The 18,868-nt window shown below is 38.0% G+C and overlaps 1 protein-coding gene across 3 annotated transcripts in view, besides 1 other annotated feature; it reads right to left on the minus strand.

Annotated features, from left to right (window-relative positions):
• LRP2 (LDL receptor related protein 2) overlaps positions 1–18,868 on the minus strand; it is a 235,426-nt gene that overhangs the window by 176,062 nt on the left and 40,496 nt on the right. For all 3 annotated transcript variants that reach the window (XM_011511183.4, NM_004525.3, XM_047444340.1), the window contains exons 2-4: positions 17,607–17,714; positions 15,592–15,714; positions 4,111–4,227 (exon numbers count right to left, since the gene is read on the minus strand). In XM_011511183.4, the coding sequence (XP_011509485.1) occupies positions 4,111–4,227; positions 15,592–15,714; positions 17,607–17,714 (348 nt within the window). The remainder of the gene's footprint in view (positions 1–4,110; positions 4,228–15,591; positions 15,715–17,606; positions 17,715–18,868) is intronic.
• Positions 5,287–5,449: a silencer, noted in NCBI's record as "fragment chr2:170164967-170165129 (GRCh37/hg19 assembly coordinates)". NCBI's record gives its function as "represses an EF-1alpha promoter that drives an FKBP-Casp9 reporter gene in an ReSE screen in HepG2 liver carcinoma cells {active_cell/tissue: HepG2}" and the evidence as "EXISTENCE:reporter gene assay evidence [ECO:0000049][PMID:32094911]".

Below are 18,868 nucleotides of genomic sequence, written 5' to 3' on the forward strand. Positions count from 1 at the left end.
GCTTCTTTTGTATATGTTAAAAAAAACCTTCCATACTAAAAAAGGTTTAGACAATAATATGTAAAAATAATAAAATAGCTAAGTAACCTTTAAACAAAAATAAGTTATACGTTTCTATTCCTAAAGCAAAATCTTTTAAGAGCACAGGCATATGGTTTAGACCTAGGTTAAAATCCTGGCTCCCCTACTCTTACATCTTGATAATCTTTACAATCTCTGTAAAACAGAGCTGGTCCTCATACCCACCTTGCAGCATTGACGTGAAAAGTGGGTAAGGTGGTGGCTGGTGCTCGGTGACTGGCAGTTCCCTTTCCCACTTTCCACAAGAGCTTTAAACAAAGAAGGAAAACAAAATGGGATCACTCCTGCAACCCATCCCCTATACTAGCATTTTCTAAGGACTTTGATCGAGGCCATTCATTTCCTTCTTGTATATATCTGACTGTGACCAGATCAAAGCACTAACAAAAGAATAAGAAGTTTCTTTTCTACATTTCCTCTGATTTCTGAGGTTTTTTTTTTTACACTGCTCCATAAATGAAACTTAGCTATAAATAAACAAGGTAGAGGGAAATAGGAAAGAATGCCTCACTGCAAAATCCCTTACATGCATGTGATTCATTTTAGGTCACAGTGTGCCCTGAAGGGTTCATGACTTGTATGATTCCAGAAACAGTAAGCCAAATTTGGTTTTCTTTCCTTAGTGAATCATTATTTCACCAACTATTTGTACTTAAATTTTTTTAAATAAAAAAAAACTTGATTAAAAATTCCTGCCCAGATATAATAACTTACAAAGCTCATTTCCTCTGCTTCGTTCCCTTTTACAGCAGCTACTTACATATTCGTATCCTGCCAGGTTTTTGCCAGAAGGTTCATTGGCAAAGTTGTGAGCCGGTTGTATTAGTGACTTTAGTCTTGGCTGCAAACATTCTGTTTCAGCTGACTTTTATTTTCCCCAAAGTAGCAGTTCCTTTAGTCCCACTGCATTTGCAATAAAGCACTCATTTTCATCTACTTGTAAATAAGGGATAAAGACACAGACTTTTGGCTGGTGGTACAGGCCTCTGGTGGTCTCTTAACTTGTACAAGATAGGACTTTCTCCTTCTGTAAATAAAGCCCTCCATGAAGAGCAATCACCAGACTTGGAACTAGAAGACAAATTAAGCCCTATCTCTACTATACAACCTCAAACAAGTCACGCTTCTCTTTGAAGTTTTTGTTTATTCATAAGAGATTATAATAGTGCCTGCCCTATTGTCCTCATAAAGGAACCTAATAGTAACAACTAGAATTTATATAATGCTCTGAAATTTATAAAATGCTACAAAATATAACATATGGTTTATCATTATTATTAATCAAAAATATCTTCTTCATTTGCCTAAATGAAGAACCTACTGTGTGCTTTACAAAGCACTGAAAGGAGAATCTTTGACCCCTAAACTTGCTATTCTGTGGCATCCAGACACACGCTACCATCTCTAAACTTGCCAGAGTTTAGTCTAAATTCTTTGCATAATTTCCAGAGTGAAGGTAAATCCAAAGTGGAAACACTGTAATGTCTTTCAAAAAATAAAGACATATGCACATGTATGTTTATTGTAGCACTATTTATAATAGCAAAGACTTGGAACCAACCCAAATGCCTATCAATGATAGACTGGATAAAGAAAATGTAGCATATATGCACCATGGAATACTACGCAGCCCTAAAAAGGAACAAGTTCATGTCTTTTACAAGGACATGGATGAAGCTGGAAGCCATCATTCTCAGCAAACTAACACAGGAATAGAAAACCAAACGCCACATGTTCTCACTCATAAGTGGGAGTTGAACGATGAGAACACATGGATACAGAGAGGGGAACGTCACACATGTATCCCAGAACTTAAAGTAAAATTAAAAATAAATAGATAAATAAGAATATTTCAGATGAAAATTAGAACAGAACTGTACTAGGAACTCTGCTAGGAAATGGAGAGACAATGGCAAATAGCACAGACATTTCTCCCAAAGAAAAATAACATGCAAGGGAGAAAGCACTGGAGAAGGGTCGTTTTTAAAAATGCACCATGTGGTCATGGTATGGATGGAAGCATAGGTCTTGCTTTTGCACATATACAAGTATATCTTCCATGAACAGTATAGTTTGAAATGTACAGTGACTAGAAACAATTTGCTTGCCATAATCAATGTATGTTAGCTCCTACCCTAGTCACAGCACCATATTGGGAAGTTTAGCAAAATTTACACAAGATAGTTCTTTTATCAGAAAGCATAAAATAAACCATTTGTATCAAAGGAAGGAATTTAGAGACAATCCAGAGAACTAAAATTAAATCAAAATTATAAAACAATAGAGGAGATATCCCGTGAGAATAGGCTAAAACTTGAATCTTCCGTTGGAGACATAATAACTGAAAAGTTTATGATCAAGATTTCTAAGGTACACAAAAATCTGCTCACCAATTAATGGAATACTGGGATAATTTCTTGAAGTTTGAAATATAAATTTAAGAGCAAACAAAAGGAAGTACAGTCAGGAACCGCATATGGCTCTTTCGGTCAACGACAGACCGCATGGACTACATGTACTACAGTGGTCCCCTAAGATTATAATACCATATTTTTGCTGTACCTTTTCTATGTTTACATATGTTTAGCTACATAAATACTTAACATTGTGTTCCAATTGCCTGTAGTATTTAGCACGGGAACATGGTGTTCAGGTTTGTAGCCTAGGAGCAACAGTATATGCCTAGGGTATATACTGTTTACCCTAGGTGTGCAGTAGGCTATACCATCCAGGTTTGTTTAACAACACTCTATCACGTTCACACAACAACAAAATTGCCTAATAATACATTTCTCAGAATGTGTCCCCCTCATTAAATGACACATGACTATATCTTTATACAGCACATAGTAAATTTATGAAATGCAGGACTGCACGAAAAGGCCTGTCAGAAATATATGTTATATGTATATATTAAAATATATATATATTAAAAACTCAAGGAACTTCTGGAAAAATTCATAAACGCTAGACTTGTAAGAACTTTTCAGAGAAACTAGGGGCCAGACACAGTGGCTCATGCCTGTAATCCCAGCACTTTGGGAGGCCGAGGCGGGTGGATCACCTGAGGTCAGAAGTTCAACACCAGCCTGACCAACATGGTGAAATGCCATCTCTACTAAAAATACAAAAATTAGTCGGGCGTGGTGGCGCATGCCTGTAATCCCAGCTACTCGGGAGGCTGAGGCAGGAGAATCGCTTGAACCTGGGAGGTGGAGGTTGCGGTGAGCCGAGAGCATGCCATCACACTCAGCCTGGGCAACAAGAGTGAAACTCCTTCTCAAAAATAAAAAATAAAAAACAGAAAGAGAGAGAAACTGTGGTATGCCTGAGATTAAAGACAATTATATGGACTATAGGACTGACACAGCAGACTAATTCCTATCTTCTCATATCCTAACACTTCTATATAAGCCTCGAAAGAGGAAGATTGTTCTTTACTTACCTGTTACTAGATAATGAACCATGATTGCACTTTCTTATTTTGGTGTGGTAATATTTATACATTATACATAGAATACTATGATTTATATGTCTTATTTTGTGGTGATCAGTTACAAAGAGATATAGTATGCTGCTGTTATAGGAAAAGACATTTTCAAAATGTAACACTTTTCCAAAGGTAATCTGAAAAATGTTGAGTTCATAAAAGCAGGAAAACTAGTGAGAAATTTGACCTAGAAACTTACTATAGCTGTGTAATAACAGTTAAAATTTACCAAACTTGATTCTGTACTCAATGTATTTAATTATCCTTCCTTTCAGAATCTATGTTCATGTTAAAAGTTTCTTACTATAAAAAATACAGAAACTTGATGCACTAAGGCAGGACACTCTTAGAATGTCTTGTTAAAAATAGACTCTTATCAGAACATCACCCCTAATCCACAAAAGAATCTGCCAAGAGATTGCAATAACAAGAGGCATATTGTAGGCATTTATGTCCATCAACAAATCTAACAAATTGATTAAAATGCCAAAGGGACAAGGGTGAAACCAAATACAGTGCAAGGACTAAAACAGACTCACGGCAGTCATTCTCATCAGCTCCATCGGGGCAGTCTCTGACGTGGTCGCACCTGTATTCACTTGGGATACACTGACCATTGGAGCATGTTATCTGATGACTTGAGCATGTACTTTGTGCTGCGAAGAGAAAAAATTATTACTTAATTTATAATTATTGCTAGACACAGACTAATCTATTGTCATTAACAAGGATATTGGAAAGCATAAAGTTCATAGGGACACAAGGTAAAGTACCTGGCTACCACCAAGCTGAGCTTACAAAGCAAAAACAGAAGTATAATGTTATCAAAATGCCCAGAGAATAGTGTCCACACTCAAGCATGCTATGTACACAATTACGTTATCAACATGTGTAAAGAATACAATATAGATTTTAAAACTATATGGTAAAAAGTTTAATGAAATAAAAATTTTGCAAGTATAGGTATTAACCAAGGACCCCCAACCCACCCATTGAAATCCTTGTATAAACAAGAAGGAAATATACCAAAGCTTTAATAGCAGTTATTCCAGAGTGGTGTGAATATGAATATGAGTGATTTTATTTTTTTCTATATAGTTTCCTCTATTCTATAAACTGCCTACATTGACCATGTATCAATTTTATAAAGAGAAAAAAATTTAAGCTAGCTTGATTTCATCCCATGTTGATTAGTATAGGTGAAAGCAGGGCATCAGCAGTTCATGAAATTTGCCTCCGGATAAAACAGATAAAATCCAGTGAACTGATGCCCGCAAGCATGATGTGAAAGCTATCCTGTAAATCTGAGGCAGGAATTACCATAACATGGTAACATTATCTTATCCTGGGATTTTAAATTGTCTACATACAAAGAGCTTTGGGGGAAAACGTGATCATCTAAAAAATATAATATAATCCCCTAATGGAAGAAAAAAGATTTGCTCTCAATTTTTACAAAACTTCTTTTTTTTATAATTCCTTTTTTATTATTATTATTTTACTTTAAGTTCTGGGGTACATGTGCACAGCGTGCAGGTTTGTTACATATGTATACATCTGCCATGTTGGTGTGCTGCCCCCATTAACTAGTCATTTACGTTAGGTGTATCTCCTAATGTTATCCTTCCCCTCTCCCCTACCCCACGACAGGACCCAGTTTGTGATGTTCCCCATCCTGTGTCCAGGTGCTCTCATTGTTCAATTCCCACCTATGAGTGAGAACATGCGGTGTTTGGTTTTCTGTCCTTGCGATAGTTTGCTCAGAATGATCGTTTCCAGCTTCATCCATGTCCCTACAAAGGACAGGAACTCATCCTTTTTTACGGCTGCATAGTATTCCATGGTGTATATGTGCCACATTTTCTTAATCCAGTGTATCATTGATGGACTTTTGGGTTGGTCCCAAGTCTTTGCTATTGTGAATAGTGCCACAAAAAACATATGTGTGCATGTGTCTTTATAGCAGCATGATTTATAATCCTTTGGGTATATACTCAGTAATGGGATGGCTGGGTCAAATGGTATTTCTAGTTCTAGATCCTTGAGGAATCGCCACACTGTCTTCCACAATGGTTGAACTAGTTTACAGTCCCACCAACAGTGTAAAAGTGTTCCTATTTCTCCACATCCTCTCCAGCACCTGTTGTTTCTTGACTTTTTAATGATCACCATTCTAACTGGTGTGAGATGATATCTCATTGTGGTTTTGATTTGCATTTCTCTGATGCTCAGTGATGATCAGCATTTTTTCATGTGTCTGTTGGCTGCATAAATGTCTTCTTTTGAGAAGTGTCTGTTCATGTCCTTTGCCCACTTTTTGATGGGGTTGTTTGTTTTTTTCTTGTACATTTGTTTAAGTTCTTTGTAGATTCTGGATATCAGCCCTTTGTCAGATGGGTAGATTGCAAAAATTTTCTCCCATTCTATAGGTTGCCTGTTCACTCTGATGGTAGTTTCTATTGCTGTGCAGAAACTCTTTAGTTTAATGAGATCCCATTTATCAATTTTGGCTTTTGTTACCATTGCTTTTGGTGTTTTAGACATGAAGTCCTTGCCCATGTCTATGTCCTGAATGGTATTGCCTAGGTTTTCTTCTAGGGTTTTTATGGTTTTAGGTCTGACATTTAAGTCTTTAATCCATCTTGAATTAATTTTTGTATAAGGTGTAAGGAAGGGATCCAGTTTCAGCTTTCTACATATGGCTAGCCAGTTTTCCCAACACCATGTATTAAATAGGGAATCCTTTTCCCGTTTCTTGTTTTTGTCAGGTTTGTCAAAGATCAGATGGTTGTAGATGTGTGGTATTATTTCTGAGGGCTCTATTCTGTTCCATTGGTCTATATCTGTGTTTTGGTACCAGTACCATGCTGTTTTGGTTACTGTAGCCTTGTAGTATAGTTTGAAGTCAGGTAGCATGATGCCTCCAGCTTTGTTCTTTTGGCTTAGGATTGTCTTGGCAATGTGGGCTCTTTTTTGGTTCCATATGAACTTTAAAGTAGTTTTTTCCAATTCTGTGAAGAAAGTCATTGGTAGCTTGATGGGGATGGCATTGAATCTATAAATTACCTTGGGCAGTATGGCCATTTCCATGATATTGATTCTTCCTATCCATAAGCATAGAATGTTCCTTCATTTGTTTGTGTCCTCTTTTATTTCACTGAGAATGGTTTGTAGTTCTCCTTGAAGAGGTCCTTCACATCCCTTGTAAGTTGGATTCCTAGGTATTTTATTCTCTTTGAAGCAATTGTGAATGGGAATTCACTCATGATTTGGCTCTCTGTTTGTCTGTTATTGGTATATAGGAATGCTTGTGATTTTTGCACATTGATTTTGTATCCTGAGACTTTGCTGAAGTTGCTTATCAGCTTAAGGAGATTTTGGGCTGAGACGATGGGGTTTTCTAAATATACAATCATGTCATCTGCAAACGGGGACAATTTGACTTCCTCTTTTCCTAATTGGATACCCTTTATTTCTTTCTCCTGCCTGATTGCCCTGGCCAGAACTTCCAACACTATGTTGAATAAGAGTGGTGACAGTTTTCAAAGGGAATGCTCCCAGTTTTTGCCCATTCAGGATGATATTGGCTGTGGGTTTGTCATAAATAGCTCTTATTATTTTGAGATACGTCCCATTGATACCTAATTTATTGAGAGTTTTTAGCATGAAGGGCTGTTGAATTTTGTCAAAGGCCTTTTCTGCGTCTATTGAGATAATCATGTGGTTTTTGTCTTTGGTTCTGTTTATATGATGGATTACGCTTATTGATTTGCGTATGTTGAACCAGCCTTGCATCCCAGGGATGAAACCAACTTGATCATGGTGGATAAACTTTTTGATGTGCTGCTGGATTGGGTTTGCCAGTATTTCACTGAAGATTTTTGCATCGATGTTCATCAGGGCTATTGGTCTAAAATTCTCTTTTTTTGTTGTGTCTCTGCCAGGCTTTGGTATCAGGATGATGCTGGCCTCATAAAATGAATTAGGGAGGATTCCCTCTTTTTCTTTTGATTGGAAAAGTTTCAGAAGGAATGGTACCAGCTCCTCCTTGTACCTCTGGTAGAATTCGGCTGTGAATCAGTCTGGTCCTGGACTTCTTTTGGTTGGTAGCCTCTTAATTATTGCCTCAATTTCAGAGCCTGTTATTGGACTATTCAGGGATTCAACTTCTTCCTGGTTTAGTCTTGGGAGGGCGTATGTGTCAAGGAATTTATCCATTTCTTCTAGATTTTCTAGTTGATTTGCATAGAGGTTTTTATAGTATTCTCTGATGGTAGTTTGTATTTCTGAGGGATTGGTGGTGATATCCCCTTTATCATTTTTTATTGTGTCTATTTGATTCTTCTCTCTTTTTTCGTTATTAGTCTTCCTAGTGGTCTATCAATTTTGTTGATCTTTTCAAAAAACCAGCTCCTGGATTCATTGATTTTTTGAAGGGTTTTTTGTGTCTCCATCTCCTTCAGTTCTGCTCTGATCTTAGTTATTTCTTGCCTTCTGCTAGCTTTTGAATGTGTTTGCTCTGGCTTCTCTAGTTCTTTTAATTGTGATGTTAGGGTGTCAATTTTAGATCTTTCCTGCTTTCTCTTGTGGGCATTTAGTGCTATAAATTTCCCTCTACACACGCTTTAAGTGTGTCCCAGAGATTCTGGTATGTTGTGTCTTTGTTCTCATTGGTTTCAAAGAACATCTTTATTTCTGCCTTCATTTCTTTATGTACCCAGTAGTCATTCAGGAGCAGGTTGTTCAGTTTCCATGTAGTTGAGCGGTTTTGAGTGAGTTTCTTAATCCTGAGTTTTAGTTTGATTGCACTGTGGTCTGAGAGACAGTTTGTTATAATTTCTGTCCTTTTACATTTGATGGGGAGTGCTTTACTTCCAACTATGTGGTCAATATTGAAATAAGTGCAATGTGGTGCTGAGAGGAATGTATATTCTGTTGATTTGGGGTGGAGAGTTCTGTAGATGTCTATTAGGTCTGCTTGGTGCAGAGCTGAGTTCAATTCCTGGAAATCTTTGTTAACTTTCTGTCTCGTGGATCTGTCTAATGTTGACAGTGGGGTGTTAAAGTCTCCCATTATTATTGTGTGGGAGTCTAAGTGTCTTTGTAGGTCTCTAAGGACTTGCTTTATGAATCTGGGTGCTCCTGTATTGGGTGCATATATATTTAGGATAGTTAGCTCTTCTTGTTGACTGGATCCCTTTACCATTACGTAATGGCCTTCTTTGTCTCTTCTGATCTTTGTTGGTTTAAAGTCTGTTTTATCAGAGACTAGGATTGCAACCCCTGCCTTTTTTTGTGTTTTCCATTTGCTTGGTAGATCTTCCTCCATCCCTTTATTTTGAGCCTATGTGTGTCTCTGCACGTGAGATGGGTTTCCTGAATACAGCACACTGATGGGTCTTGACTCTTTATCCAATTTGCCAGTCTGTGTCTTTTAATTGGAGCATTTAGCCCATTTACATTTAAGGTTAATATTGTTATGTGTGAATTTGATCCTGTCATTATGATGTTAGCTGGTTATTTTGCTCGTTAGTTGATGCAGTTTCTTCCTAGCCTTGATGGTCTTTAGAATTTGGCATGTTTTTGCAGTGGCTGGTACCAGTTGTTCCTTTCCATGTTTAGTGCTTCCTTCAGGATTTCTTGTAAGGTAGGCCTGGTGGTGACAAAATCTCTCAGCATTTGCTTGTCTGTAAAGGATTTTATTTGTCCTTCACTTATGAAGCTTAGTTTGGCTGGATATGAAATTCTGGGTTGAAAATTCTTTTCTTTAAGAATGTTGAATATTGGCCCCCCCTCTCTTCTGGCTTGTGGAGTTTCTGCCGAGAGATCAGCTGTTAGTCTGATGGGCTTCCCTTTGTGGGTAACCCGACCTTTCTCTCTGGCTGCCCTTAACATTTTTTCCTTCATTTAAACTTTGGTGAATCTGACAATTACGTGTCTTGGAGTTGCTCTTCTCGAGGTATGTCTTTGTGGCATTCTCTGTATTTCCTGAATTTGAGTGTTGGCCTGCCTTGCTAGGTTGGGGAAGTTCTCCCGGATAATATCCTGCAGAGTGTTTTCCAACTTGGTTCCATTCTCCCCGTCACTTTCAGGTACAACAATCAGACGTAGATTTGGTCGTTTCACATAGTCCCATATTTCTTGGAGGCTTTGTTCATTTCTTTTTACTCTTTTTTCTCTAAACTGCTCTTCTCACTTCATTTCATTCATTTGATCTTCAATCACTGATACCCTTTATTCCAGTTGATCGAAACGGCTATTGACGCTTGTGCATGCATCACGTAGTTCTCATGCCATGGTTTTCAGCTCCATCAGGTCATTTAAGGTCTTCTCTATGCTGGTTATTCTAGTTAGCCATTCATCTAATCTTTTTTCAAGATTTTTAGCTTCTTTGCGATGGGTTTGAACATCCCCCTTTAGCTTGGGGAAGTTTGTTATTACCGATCGTCTGAAGCCTTCTTCTCTCAACTCTCAAAGTCACTCTCCATCCAGCTTTGTTCTGTTGCTGGTGAGGAGCTGCGTTCCTTTGAAGGAGAAGAGGTGCTCTGATTTTTAGAATTTTCAGCTTTTCTGCTCTGGTTTCTCCCCATCTTTGTGATTTTATCTACCTTTGGTCTTTGATGATGGTGATGTACAGATGGGGTCTTGGTGTAGATGCCCTTTCTGTTTGTTAGTTTTCCTTCTAACCATCAGGACCCTCAGCTGCAGGTCTGTTGGAGTTTGCTGGAGGTCCACTCCAGACCCTGTTTGCCTGGGTATCATCAGTGGAGTCTGCAGAACTGCAAATATTGCAGAACAGCAAATGTTACTTCCTGATCGTTCCTCTGGAAGCTTCGTCTCAGAGGGGCACCTGGCCGTATCCGGTGTCAGTCGGCCCCTACTGGGAGGTGTCTCCCAGTTAGGCTACTCGGGGGTCAGGGACCCACTTGAGGTAGTCTGTCCATTCTCAGATCTCAAACTCTGTGCTGGGAGATCCACTACTCTCTTCAAAGCTCAGTTGGAAATGCAGAAATCACCCGTCTTCTATGTTGCTCACGCTGGGAGCTGTAGACTGGAGCTGTTCCTATTCGGCCATCTTGGAACCTCCCTCCTCTCCCAAAGCGCTAGGATTTGAATGCCACAATACATATTGATTCATGTTTTTGTCCATTAGTGGTCCGTGGGTATCTATAAATGAAGTCTATTTTAGAGTCCATAGATATCAGCGTTCTGCAAAACTGTCAGGGATCCGAGGCTCCCAGCCTACAGAGCTTCTTTTACTTATATGTAGTATAGATATTTAGGTTCAGCAAAACTTGGTTTTCTGATAAAATTAGATCTGTTAAGGAATGTACCCCCAAAACTTAACATGAAAAACCTTTTCAAACGACAAGTAAACCTGGCACAGTGGCTCGTGCCTTTAATCCCAGCTATGGGAGATTGAGGCAAGAAGATCACTTGAGGCCAAGAATTCAAGACTAGCCTGGGCAACATAGTGAGATCCTTATATCTTAAAAGAAAAAAAAAATAAATTTAGCTGGGCACAGTGGCTCACTTCCAAGTAGCTGTAGTCGTAGCTATTTGGAAGGCTGAGGTAGGAGGATCACTTGAGCCAAAAAAAACTTCTCTTTTTATGTAGTTAGAGTGAGCTATAATCATGCCACTGCACTCCAGCCTGGGCAGCAAAGCAAGACCCCTGTCTCTAAAAAAAAAAAAATATGTAAAAGATAAGTAGACAGTGACAGTTTTCAAGGTGGTACTTGAAAATTCAAACATATAGAAATTATCATGTGATAAGATATAATAATTATAAAACCATAATTAACACCCTTCTCCATGCTTAATTGATTATATCTTCCTTGTCATTTTGTTCCTTCTTTCTGTTTAATTAGCAAAATGGTGTCTTATAATTCTGGAACAGCAAACAAAATTTTTCAAGTCAGCCTACTTCTAACACTAAATAATTTCATATTTTCTCTAAGTACCTTATACCTGTGGGTCCAATTTTACTTCTATTAATAAAGGCAGAATAGATAGATTTTTCCAGAAGGCACTTAAGTGTCTGAATTCTGCCCATGGCAGAGACACAATTTTATCTGAAAAAGGTTAAAGAGATTAATACTTCCTCATTAAATTTCCAAATAATTTATTTAAGTATATATTGCCAATTTTCACATAAAATTAAAGAACTTTCTTTTATTCCCGAGAAGGCAAGTCATGGGTTGTCTCAAACAAAATATGAAAAGAACCTGGGTCAGGTATCAGTGCTCGTTCAATTACCTTGGCTTTCTTCTTTACGTCAAGCCCAAATAATTCTAAATGTTGTGCTTAGGTTTTCAAAGGGCTTACGAAGAAGCAATTAAAAGCTCATTCAAATGTAGAGAGCAAACAAATTAAAATTATATAATTCCATCAACCTATCTAATGCTGAGATTCATCTATTCATTAATTACACAAACATCTGTTGAGGGCCTATAATGTACCACACAGTATAGCAATATGGGGATCTGCAAATGAATAAGGCACAATCCCTACCCTCAAGAAGCTCATAGTCTTCTAGGGGACACTAAGGAGTAATTAGAAAACAATTATGAAAGTGGATTATAGGCACACAGGAATGATAGAACCATCAATCCAGGAACTTAATTCACTCTGGGATGGGAGCATGGATGGGGACAGTTTCCTTGAAAAAGTGACACCTCCCTGGGTCTTAAAGAAGCAGCAGTCAGGTAGGCCAAAAGCAAAGAAGGACTGTCTAGAACCGAGCATTCAGCATTCAGCCAGCTTGCACGGAGACAAAAGGCTAGGACACAGCATGGCACACCCACAGGAACTAAAAGCACTGCTGTGCCCAAGTGGCCACTTCAAGGCAAGAATAGCAAATGATAGACATAGGAAAATAAGCACTAGTCACATCTTGGAAGCCACTGTAAACCGTGTTAGGGAATTGGAACTTTCTCCTGGAATTAATGGAGAGCTACCAAAGAATCTTAGTTAGATCAGCATCAGTGTCAGAGAGAATCTAAGGATCCACAGAACTGGAGGCAGGGAGGCCAACCCAGAGACTACTGCTGACACCCAAATGAGAGATGTTGGCAGTGGGAGCAGAAATAAAGAGATGGGTCAGACATGGTGGCTCACACCTATCATCCCAGCACTTGGGGGGCCAAGGTGGGTGGATCACTTCAGGCCAGGAGTTGGAGACCAGCCTGGGCAACATGGGAAAACCCCATCTCTACAAAAAAAAAAAAAAAAAAAAAAAATACAAAATTAGCCAGGTATGGTGCCATGCGCCCGTAGTCCCAGCTACTCTGGAGGCTGAGAAGTGGGAGGACCATTTGAGCCCAGGAGGTCAAGGCTACAGTGAGCCATGATTGCACCACTGCATTCCAGCCTGGGCAACAGAGCAAGACCCTGTCTCAAAAAAAAAAAAAATCTGTCCTTGCCAAAAAATAAAAATAAAAGAGAGAGAAATGAAGAGATTAACTTTAGAAATATTTATGAGGCAAATTAGGCAGGAGTTGGTGATTCAATGTGGGCAGTGAAAAAGAGGAAGGAATCAAGAATAACCTCCAAGTTTCTAGCGTGGGTGCCTAGGGGATTGTGATAGCCTTTTCATGTTAATTGATTATATCTTTCCTGTCACTTACAGCAATCTTTCTTCTTCATCTAATAAAATACTTTCATTATGAAATATGTTTCACAAATTCAACAAGTAAGAGAGCCTCCATCTGCCTATTTCCAATAGTTTAAGACTGATTTTGTATTTTCTGCCAGTGCCTCATAGTGGGTTAAATGCTATTTCTATTAATAAAGATAAAATATGTAGACTAGCAAATATAGAAGGAAAATCCAGTTCAGGAGGGAAGATGATTATTTTCAGTTGGGACACCTTGAGTTCAAGGCAACTTGCAGAGGTCCAAAGGTAGTTGAGTATACAAGACTCAAGTGTGGGCAAAAATCTGGGTTGTAAACACAGATTTAAGTCTCATCAGGCCACAGAGGGTCACTAAAGTCATGAGAATGGTGAGACTATCCTGAGAGTGTCCAGAATGAGAAAAGCTGCTCAGGGCAGGGCTCTGAGCAACACCAATACTCAAGGGCTGAGTAGAAGAGGAAAATAAAATGGAATGACCAAAGCAGCTCAAAAGAGAGCCAGGACTGCTGGGAGTCATGGCAGCCAAGGGAGTGGTGTCAAGAAGGAGGAATGGTCTCCAGAGTCAAGTGCAATCTAAATGCCCATCCAGTGTGAGAAGGAAGGAAAAGTGCCCATTGGCAATCAGGAGTTATCTGGTAACTTTAGTGAATACAGAGGTGGCATATTTTGTTTGTGGTTAAAAGATATCTAATGGAGAATTTTTATATCATTAAAAATGGGAGAATTGCCTCATGAAATGTATAGTCATTTAAAATGATATGCAATATTGTTTTAAAATGACTGCTATAAACTTATCTCCAGTCTCTTTTCCCAAGCAGTTGCCCTTAGTAGTTCCAATCCCCTCTGTAAAGTATTATTATTAGCAAAGGGTCATCCACCACACATTGAATCGCAAAATAAAGCTCAGCTTTCTTCCCACTCTGTGAGAGGAGTAAGAGAAAATAGACTCAAAACTATATAGCCTAAAGATGAACAACCCATCATTTATGCATTTAGTATCTATCTATTAAGAACCTCCTCTCTGCCTGAGAGAATGTCAGGCCTTCAGGATGCAAATTTTGAGACTTGAGCAGCTTTTATGCAATCAAGAAAGGCCAATAGGATAAATATGGCAGAGCAAAAAAGTGAGAAAAAGCTGGATAATATTTCTGAGCTGGGAATTAATCAACCCTGGAACAACCCTATAGTTAGGCTTCTTATTATGTGAGATAATAAATCCCCTTTTTGTTTAACTTTTTTGAGTTGTGTTTTCTTTCCTTGCAGCCAAAAACATCCACAATGATACAAGAATGATTTTAAATTATACAAATATCCTTAATAGAGAAAGGAATGGAATGATACATGTGATAGACAAATTGCTCATAGGTCGCCATCTTATATTTACCCAACATTACTTCTCATCTAAAATTATTTTCAGGCCAGTCATGGGGGGGTCATGCCTATAATCCCAACATTTTGGGAGGCCAAGGCAGGAGGATCACTTTAGCCCAGGATTCCAGACCAGCCTGGGAAACGTAACAAGATCGTGTCTCTACAAAAAATTTAAAAATTAGCTGGGCATGGTGGTGCACACCTATAGTCCCAGCTACTCAGGAGGCTTAAGCAGGAGGATTACCTGAGCCCCGGTGTTTGAGGCTGCAGTGAGCTGTGATCGCACCACTGCACTCCAGCCTGGGTGAGAGAGTGAGACCCTGACTCTAAAAATAATAATAAAATAAAAATAAATAAAATAAAATTATTGTTAGACCTATTAAAACAGTCTTTTCCAGTCTGATTCCAAAGAAATTAGAATTTAAAGGTTTTTTCCAGGTTACTGAACCAAACCCCCTCAATGTCCAGGGATGCCGCAGTTGCCAAGATCCGCTTCATCGCTACTATTTTCTTTCTTGTTCAAGCTCTCCCTATGGTGGCTGTGGCAGCAGTCACTGAAGTAACCACCAAGAAGCCCTCCAACAAACCTACCTACTTCCACTCAGTCAAAAAGAAGAGAATTTAATATTGGGGCAGAAGGAGTGGAAGGTTTGAATACAAAGTATGCCACAGAGCCAAAGGACTCATTCAGCTGTCAACCACACACATGAAGACACCCAGCTATACACTCCAATAAATATTTGGTTCCTTTCTTGAGCATAACATAATCAAAATTAAAGATTGGGAACCTATCTCACTTCCAAATTGCTGGGGTATATTCATAATTCTTCAGTACATCCGTACTTTCAATATCATCCAACCCCTGAATGAGATTGCTGGCATAGGTTCCCTTATGATTTAAGGCCCTGCTCCACATTTATAAAGAATCATCCCATTGTGTGTAACTTCTTTGCGACAGGTTGGGTTTTAGGTGTCCACAAAGCCAAAGCAAGATTCCTCTCCAAACACTTACAGCAATCTTGACGTTCATCTGAGCCATCATCACAGTCTTGATCTTGGTCACACACCCAGGAGTTGGGGATGCATTGTCCCTCACTCTGGCACTTGAAATAGCCCTGCTGGCAGGTCACAACAGCTAAAACAAACCAAAAGAGGACTCATTATGGCAATCATCCTCCCCATTATACTAGCAAGCAATGCTTGTTCCAGAAGAGTGTATCATGTAAACTCCTGCTCAATTTATTTGAAGGCAAATAGTAAACAACCCTTATACTAGAGTCTGTGGACGCCAGTCAGAGTTCACTGTCAAATAAGCTCAGCAACAGCATCACAACAAACTCATGAACCAAAGCAACTTAAAAACACAGAGAATAAAACAAACAGCACACATACACACAAAAAAATTATGATAAAGGTATTAGATTAAAAGCTTCATTCAAGTAAACATTAACTGTGAGTTACTGTTAAACTATTTGTTTCATAATAACTAATAGTAAAGTATCATGATGAACTGGAAAATTCATGAGATTTGGGAAAGAAAACCCAAAATCAAATAATTATTATTTCCATGATTTACTTCCTTTAAGATCTTTGGCAGGTTCTCTGAACCTCAATGTATGCATCATAAAATGGGGACTATACTCATCTCACTGTTTGTTGTGAAAAATAAGTTAAATAATGTATGTGAAAGCGCCATGTAATGTTACTTGCTATCACTATCGTCATTGATATTGTTGTTATTGTTATTATTTTTACAGGTCAATAAAATATAATACAGGTAACAATCTCTGAAGAGTTGTTGGCATAGCTGTTCACTTATTCCTTTACCCCAGATACACTGCCCTTGCCTTTTTGCTTTTATTGTTTAATCAAAATGAACTCAGTAAGCCCAGAGGAGGCAAATAGTTAGCACATGATTGTGTCTCTACAAATATAGTTTAGTCCCTTGTTCAAAGTGCAGTCCACAAACTAGCAGCATCAACATCATCAGGAAGTTTATAGAAACGCAGAAGCTGAGGTCCCACCTCAAAATATGGAATCTAAATTTGCACTTTAATGAGCTCCTGGGTGATCCATTTGTGCATGAGTATTTGAGGAGCACTGTACAGAACCCCATCCTTACCCTTCCTCCCATTTTCAAATGCGTTGTCATCTAAATGACACACCAAAGTTTGACTGCTATGGTATGCCATAACATGGCCAACAATTCAAAACAAAAATTTTTCACCTGCTTTCCTGATTTTTGAAAGATAACCCTCATTAGTTCACCTGCTGGGATGAAGGAAATTGCAGATGTATGATTGATCACCTATGGGAAGTTGGGAAGAGCAATGGGATCTGTGCATAGACTTACCAACTGTAAGAACTTTAATAAATGACTTAACTTCTCCGAGTCTCAATTTACTAATCTGAAACCGACCTCAGAAGATTAGTGAGAAAACTAAATGACAAAATGAATGTGAAAGTCATTTTATAATTAATTAGATTTGAAGTTTACTACATTATCGTATTTTTCAAATTTTTTAAAACTAGAATTTTTAAAAAACATAAATCACACTAACCAATTCTGTGATTTCTTTATGGTAATTGACACAAGTTATTCTACATCCTTTACATAAAAATGGACTCCTCTTTGACTTACAAATCACAGTAGTTCAGATAACATTATTTTTTGTTTGTTCTTGTGGGTACACAAAATTTACAGAGTGAATATTAGAAATAATCACCTACAGACTCCAGAAAACTGCACCCAAATATGTTTCCATATCAAAGTTGTGGTCAAGGGATAAGGGTGAGATAGAAACTGATGCTCTATCATCAATGTGAATTGAACCCCTACCTCAGAAGGGAGTGAAATTATTGTTAATGCCATCAGTTCTCTATTCAACCACACAGATCTCAAAAGACTTGGGCCCAGACCTGGCTCTGTCACTAAAAGGCATAGCTCTTCTCTTTGTTACAGCTGAAATCACCAGGAAGCACTTAGGTTACTCAAAATAGAACTTAGCCTGGCCCCTCCTCACTTACCGCAGCCAATTTCATCCGCGTCATCTGAACAGTCTTTGGTCCCATCACACCTCCAGTCTGCAGGGATGCAATGCCCACTTCCACAGCGAAAATGCGCACTGTCACATTCTGCAATAATAGACAGAAATTTTAAAAACTTATGCCATGCAGATATTTAACCGAAGAAATATAAATTTTTGATAAAATGAAAAATTATTCAACTAATTAGATAATCAAAGAAATGCAAATTAGAAAATTAGGTAAACATTCTCCCAATGATAATATAAAAATATTTATTTGAACATCCGTGGGAAGAAAGTGATTTTCATACACAGTTGATTAGTGTGTATCTTGATGGAACTCATTGGGAAAGCAGTTTGACAACACGTATCTTGCTTTTTAAAAATACTTGATCTTTAATTTAGTACTTTTACTTCAAGGATTTTTTTCCTAAGGAACTAATCAAAGAAGTAGACAAAGATTTATGTATAAAGATTTTCATCGCAACATTATTTATAACAAAGGAAGTTGCAAACCTCCTAAATGTCCAACAATAAAAGGATTAAATTTGTTTACATCTTTATATTGACATATTAGTAACTTAAAAAATGGTTATGGAGAAATTCTAAGTACTTAGAGAAATACTTATAATTTAATGTAACAAAAACAAGGACGTAAATTTTTACTGATAACAGAGTTACATATGCAAAAAAAAAAAAAGCGTAAAAAAGACCAGAATGTTAACAGTGGTTATCTCTGATTGATAACATCGTGAGTAACTTTTCATTTGCTTGACTATACTTTCTTGAGTTCCTCACCTTATTTTTTAAGTGATTTTTTATTACTAAATCATATATAGCAAGTTATGGCCTTTCATTCTTAGATTCAGACTAATATTTTGTCTTAATTTTTAAAAATTAAATTATAACTTGCCAGATCTATAAGCTCATCTCTGCAAACAATTTTTTTTAAACCAAAGAGCCAAAAACAAAACAAAACAAAATCTCTGCAGCCAACAAGAGTATACAAACTTGACACCAAAAGTTGACACCCCAAGTGGCAGTGATAGTCCCTAGTGATACTGGAAGGACAATATAACTTAAACAAGCTCACTTCACTGAACTAATATATCCTGTGATTTTCCTAGGTCTCCCCAAGGGACAAAGTTCCCCAAATACCTGGCCAGTGACCTTCCCAAGCATTATGTGCCACATAGAAAAATTTTTCAAAGAAAGCAGCCACTACCAGCCCCACTTAGAGAAGACTCAAAATTATTTTATTCT

This window comes from Homo sapiens, chromosome 2 (assembly GCF_000001405.40).
Source record: "Homo sapiens chromosome 2, GRCh38.p14 Primary Assembly".
Taxonomy (NCBI): Eukaryota; Metazoa; Chordata; class Mammalia; order Primates; family Hominidae; genus Homo; species Homo sapiens.